At 42.4% G+C, this 6482-nt stretch overlaps 1 long non-coding RNA gene across 1 annotated transcript in view; it reads right to left on the bottom strand.

Annotated features, from left to right (window-relative positions):
* The window catches only part of LOC100507053 (uncharacterized), a 212500-nt gene that overhangs the window by 178186 nt on the left and 27832 nt on the right, over positions 1 to 6482 (bottom strand). The gene's annotated exons all lie outside the window — the stretch shown is intronic.

The following is a 6482-nucleotide window of genomic DNA, read 5'->3' as shown; positions in this document are numbered from 1 at the left end:
CTCAAGTTTCTATCTCTGTAAAATAACTGCCCTTTCATCTTTGATAATTTTTTTTCTTCAACTTTTAAGTTCTGGGGTACGTGTGCAGGATGTGCAGGTTTGTTACATAGGTAAATGTGTGCCATGGTGGTTTCCTGCAGAGATCAACCCATCATTTAGGTATGAAGCCCAGCATCCATTAGCTATTCTTCCTGATGCTCTCCCTCCCCCTACCCCCCTCAACAGGCCCTAGTGTGTTGTTTCCCACCATGTGTCCATGGATTCTCATTGTTCAGCTCCCATTATAAATGGGAACACACAGTATTTGTTTTTCTGTTCCTGCATTAGTTTGCTGAGGATAAGGGCTTACAGCTCCATCCATGTCCCTGCAAAGGACATGATCTCATTCCTTTTCATGGCTGCATAGTATACCATAGCATATATGTGCCACATTTTCTTTATCCTATCTATCATTGATGGGCATTTGGTTTGATTCCATGTCTTTGCTATTGTGAATGGTGCTGCAATGAACATACATGTTCATGTATCTTTATAATAGAATAATTTATATTCCTTTGGAGATATACTTGGTAATGGGATTGCTGGGTCAAATGGTATTTTTGCCTCTAGATCTTTGAGGAATCACCACCCTGTCTTCCACAATGGTTGAACTAATAATTTACATTCCCATCAACAGTGTAAAAGCATTCCTTTTTCTCTGCAACCTCACCAGCATCTGTTGTTCCTTGACTTTTTAATAATCACCATTCTGACTGGCATAAGATGGTATCTCATTGTGGTTTGGGTTTGCATTTCTCTAATGATCAGTGATCTTTCATAATTTTTACAACACATAATGTTGAGCTTAATGATCTGCAATTGGCACTAATTAATACTATTGATCTGTAACTGGCACTAATTAATGCTATTTTCAATAGTCAATTAAAAGTTACAAAAATTGATGTACTTATAAAATAATGTAGTAAGTAAACTTTTATAGTTATAAGATTTAACAGATAAAAAGATGTATACAAAAATAGCAAAATGGAAGGTTTCAAGTTATTATACTCGAGATGTTACAATGAACAGTTTAAAAGGACAACATAGAACCTAAATGCCCATCAGTGATAGACTGGATAAAGAAAATGTGGTACATATACACCGTGGGATACTATGCAGTCATAAAAAGGAATGAGATCATGTCCTTTGCAGGGACATGGATGGAGCTGGAAGCCATTAACCTCAGCAAATAACGCAGGAACAGAAAAACAATCATCACATGTACTCACTTATAAGTGGGAGCTGAACTATGAGAATACATGGACACATCATGGGGAACAACACACACTGGGGCCTGTCTGGGGGGCAGGAGGGAGAGCATCAGGAAGAATAGCTAATGGATGCTGGTCTTAATACCTAAGTGATGTGTTGATCTGTGCAGCAAACCATCATGGCACACGTTTACCTATGTAACAAACCTGCACATCCTGCACACGTACCCCAGAACTTAAAAGTTGAAGGAAAAAAAAAAGGATCAGATAATAATTTAGATCAGAGTAATAAAGACTAGCTTTCACCTTGGACCAGAACTTAAAATAAAAGTTGAAGGAAAAAAAACAGGTAAGATACATAATAATTTAGATCAGAGTAATAAAGACTAGCTTTCATCTTGGAGCAATTTCTGAAACCTATCAGTTTTCTTTAAAATGATTTACCACGTATTGAATTCTGAGAGAAGATAAACATCTTTGAAAGTTTTGGCTGAAAGGATAGTAATTAATATCTCAAAGTAGAAACTTATATTCTTGCTTATTTAAGATTCTCTCTCATTAGAAATGGAAGCCAGACACTTTATCTGTAAATGCTTTCTTTGTTGGCATTGTGGGACTAAAATGCACCCCACAGGTTGTTGGCCTTTCTCATGCAATTCCCTATATCAGTTCTTTTCTCTCTCCTCATCCCTTTCCTCCTTTCCTTTGCTTCAGTGAATCCTTTCTAGATTCCATTTCAGACCCACCTCTTTTTCAGATCTTTGCAGCCACAAAGCTGTTCTCACTCCCTGATCTCCTTTGATGCTCGGTGTTTTTAATCAAAATCCTATCACACGCCGTTTCCATTGCTAGTTTTTCAAGTACATGTTTGTAAAATCCCTGAAGGCAGAACGATCTTTGAATCCATCCCTCTATCAGAGATGGTCGATAAATATACGTTGCTTGATAACAAAATTCTATCCTCGTGTGTGAATAGTTCATATTCACCCTTTTGAATGGAATTTTTCCAAAACATTTTCTATATTTCCTTTTTTTCCTAATTAGATAATCCCAAATCTAATCTTAACAACTCAGAATAGTCATTATTGAAATGGGAGAGTTCCCTGATCCCCCTCACAGGATGTGCAACAGGGGTGTGACTCGCCTGTTCAGTCACCATTGCTCAAACCCCTGACAAGAATGCGAGCATGCAGACTGGCAGGTGCAGGAGTCAGGGCGAGTGCTTCGGGCTCCGGCCCCACAGTAGTGTCCAGGGGTGGGTGCCTGCAGCCCCAGTGTTACAAGGTTCTTTTAGCCTTGCTGTCCACAGACAACATAACTGTTAACCAGCTCAATGGACCCTCTGCTTTTTTGCAAGGGCAGAGGGCCAGTGTGACAACTTTCTGTATCCCAAGCTCTTGCCCAGCATCCAGGAAGAATTAGGTTGCACACAGACTTGAAGGATGAATGCAGGGTTTTATTGAGTGGTGAAGGTGGCTCTCAGCAGGATGGATGGGGAGCTGGAAGTGGGGATGGAGTAGGAAGATTTTCTTCCCCTAGAGTTTGGCCATCCAGAGGCCAAACTCCTCTCCCACCGCCCCCAGCCTAACTCCTCTTGGTGTTTAGATGTTCCTCCTCTTCTCTCTTTCTCTGCCACATCATTCTGCCATTCATCTGCTTGTTTCCTCATCTCCTCATCTGTTCATCTGCTTCTAGAGCCTGAGGTTCAGAGTTCATATGGGTACCAGATGGGGGGCATAGCAGGTCAAAAGGCAACTTTCAGGGCACAAAAACAGAAATGCCCATTCCCACTTAGGGCTGAGGGTCTCCAGACTTGAGGGTGGGGCCTTTGCTGGGGAACCACCCTCTTCTATCCAGTATTTCCCTGTCTCTTGTCCATATTATTATGATCATTAATTTTTATGCTAAATTGTGATTCAGTAGTCTCAGTCTCTCTCTACTGCCCCCCACCCTCTGAGCAATCACTGCTGCAGTAAATGTCCCTGTCTCTATCAGTCTTCTAATTTTCATACCTAGTTCTGCGATTCAAAAAAAAATTCTGATTATCCTTGGCAGAGCTGTTAGAATTGTATATAAAATCAATGAGACTGAGCAAAGTGGCTTACATCTGTAATCCCAGCACTTTGGGAGGCTGAGGCAGGACAATGGCATAAGCTCTGATGTTTGAGACCAGCCTGGGGAACATAGCAAGACTTTGTCTCTACTAAAAATAAAAGTAAAAATGAAAAATAGCTGGGCATGTCAGTGTGTGCTTGTAGTCTTAGCCACTTGGGAGGCTGAGGTGGAAAGAGGATCACTTGAGCCCAGGAGATCGAGGCTGCAGTGAGCTGTGATTGCACCACTGCACTCCAGCCTGGGCGACAGAGCAAGACCCTGTCTCAGAAGCAAAAATAAAACTGAGAAACCCCAGAGTGAGATGCATGGAGTTTAAGGCTTCACCTCCATCATTCCTTCAGCAACAGAGGCTTTTTTTCTCCTCCATGCACCCAGTTGAAATTCCTAGTAATGTATAGTATAATTTTTGTTTTGTTTTGTTTGTTGTCGTTGTTACTGTTTAAGACAGAGTCTCTGTCACCCAAGTTGGAGGGCAGTGGCACGATCTCTGCTCACTGCAATCTCCACTTCCCAGGCTCAAGTGATTCTCCTGCCTCAGGCTCCCAAGTAGCTGGAATTACAGGCCGTGTGCCACCACCCCCAGCTAATTTTGGTATTTTTAGTAAAGATGGGTTTCTGCCATGTTGCCAAGGCTGGTCTCGAACTCCTGGCCTCAGGTGATCTGCCCGCCTTGGCCTCCCAAAATGCTGGGAGTACAGGCATGAGCCACTGCACCTGGCCAATAGTATAATTTTTCAAAATGCACATCAAATGCCTAAGTTGCTCAAATATATCTCTTTCAAAATGAGGAATGAATGCTGAATCTCTATATGATACTCCAGAGAAAACAAAAATCATACATCAATGATGCCATTGGCAATATGTAGAAAACCTCCAGTTAAGAACTATGCTTCAAAGGCATTTTTAAAAGTTTGTAAACTACTGACAGTTGTCCACTTTTCCTGAGTATTCTCATTCATTCTTCACTTAAAGAATATTGCTTTTTGAAAGAGTAGGGGCAACAAAAATTAAAATATTTCAAAGGAGTCAAGCCAGTGAAATAAAACTGGAATGGAACTTGACCCCTCCAAAGGAAAAAATCAAAAGTGGTAATTTAAAGGTTTGATGGAAGATCTACCTTCCCGTGTTCTAAACACTTCATTAGAATTACCGCTCCCCCTCCCACAATGCTCTGGACCAAACATTGAAAATCTGTCCAAGGCATATAAGCCATGGACCTTCAGTATGTTAAAGATTATTAAACTTTCAGGAAAAAAATTATATTGTTCAGTATAATAAGATACATGGGTCTATGTAAAAAAAAAACTTATTTTTTGGTCTGAAATTATTACAAACACTTAAGAACACCAGTTAATACGGTGCACAGTAGTTGAATTTCGAAGGCAATACAATCACAGTATATTACTCCGAGAAGAAAAAATTATGCAGTTTTAAGATATATTTACAATGCCTTCAAACATTGCTTTTCAAATGCTACTACAAATGCTACTATAGTGCCCTCTGGTGTTTTGTTTTGTTTTGTTTTGTTTTGTTTCGGTTTTTTTTTTTTACGTTTTTCCATCTGCTAAATCTTATTTTCTTTGAGAAAAAGAATTTGCAAAGAGATAAAATAGCATCTTTCACTTATATCGTAGTTGACATTTAAGTATTTTCATACATATTATTTCATCTGAAGAGCTTCTTGAGGGCAGGACTATTTTCATATTCTTTGAGAGGCTTGCAGAGAGCAGGCCTCCAGCAATGCACCTTGTGAAGCAAGCAAGAACTTCACTGAATGAATCCTGTATTACAGGGAAAACAGGCAGTATTTTTCTTACTGGTTTATGAGAATCATAGCACCTGCAAGCTGAACATTATCTTAAGGATGAATGGGAACAGTAGGAAAATGTCTTTGTTCTTAGGGGATACTTGCTGAAGAAGATAGCGGTGAATTTCATGAGTTTTGCAACTTCCTTTCAAATGGTTCATCAAAAAAAATGTGTGATCGGGGAGTCAAGATGGCCGAATAGGAACAGCTCCAGTCTACAGCTCCCAGCATGAGCGACGCAGAAGATGAGTGATTTCTGCATTTCCATATGAGGTACCGGGTTCATCTCACTAGGGAGTGCCAGACAGTGGGCGCAGGACAGTGGGTGCAGCGCACCGCACGCGAGCCGAAGCAGGGCGAGGCATTGCCTCACTCCGGAAGCACAAGGGGTCAGGGAGTTCCCTTTCCTAGTCAAAGAAAGGGGTGACAGACGGCACCTAGAAAATCGGGTCACTCCCACCCCAACAACGCGCTTTTCCGACGGGCTTAAAAAATGTCGCACCAGGAGATTATATCCCGCACCTGGCTTGGAGGGTCCTATGCCCACGGAGTCTCGCTGATTGCTAGCACAGCAGTCTAAGATCAAACTGCAAGGCCGCAGTGAGGCTGGGGGAGGGGCGCCCGCCATTGCCCAGGATTGCTTACGTAAACAAAGCAGCCGGGAAGCTCGAACTGGGTGGAGCCCACCACAGCTCAGGGAGGCCTGCCTGCCTCTGTAGGCTCCACCTCTGGGGGCAGGGAACAGACAAACAAAAAGACAGCAGTAAGCTCTGCACACTTAAAATGTCCCTGTCTGACAGCTTTGAAGAGAGCAGTGGTTCTCCCAGCATGCAGCTGGAGATCTGAGAAAGGGCAGACTGCCTCCTCAAGTGGGTCCCTGACCTCTGACCCCCGAGCAGCCTAACTGGGAGGCACCCCCCAGTAGGGGCAGACTAAAACCTCACATGGCCGGGTACTCCTCTGAGACAAAACTTCCAGAGGAACGATCAGACAGCAGCATTCACGGTTCATGAAAATCCGCTGTTCTGCAGCCATCGCTGCTGGCACCCAGGCAAACAGGGTCTGGAGTGGACCTCTAGCAAATTCCAACAGACCTGCAGCTGAGGGTCCTGTCTGTTAGAAGGAAAACTAACAAACAGAAAGGACATCCACACCAAAAACTCATCTGTACATCACCATCATCAAAGACCAAAAGTAGATAAAACCACAAACATGGGGAAAAAACAGAGCAGAAAAACTGGAAACTCTAAAAAGCAGAGCACCTCTCCTCCTCCAAAGGAACACAGCTCCTTACCAGCAACAGAACAAAG

This window comes from Homo sapiens, chromosome 4, assembly GCF_000001405.40.
Source record: "Homo sapiens chromosome 4, GRCh38.p14 Primary Assembly".
Classification (NCBI taxonomy): Eukaryota; Metazoa; Chordata; class Mammalia; order Primates; family Hominidae; genus Homo; species Homo sapiens.
This window is presented reverse-complemented; position numbering and strand designations above follow the sequence as displayed.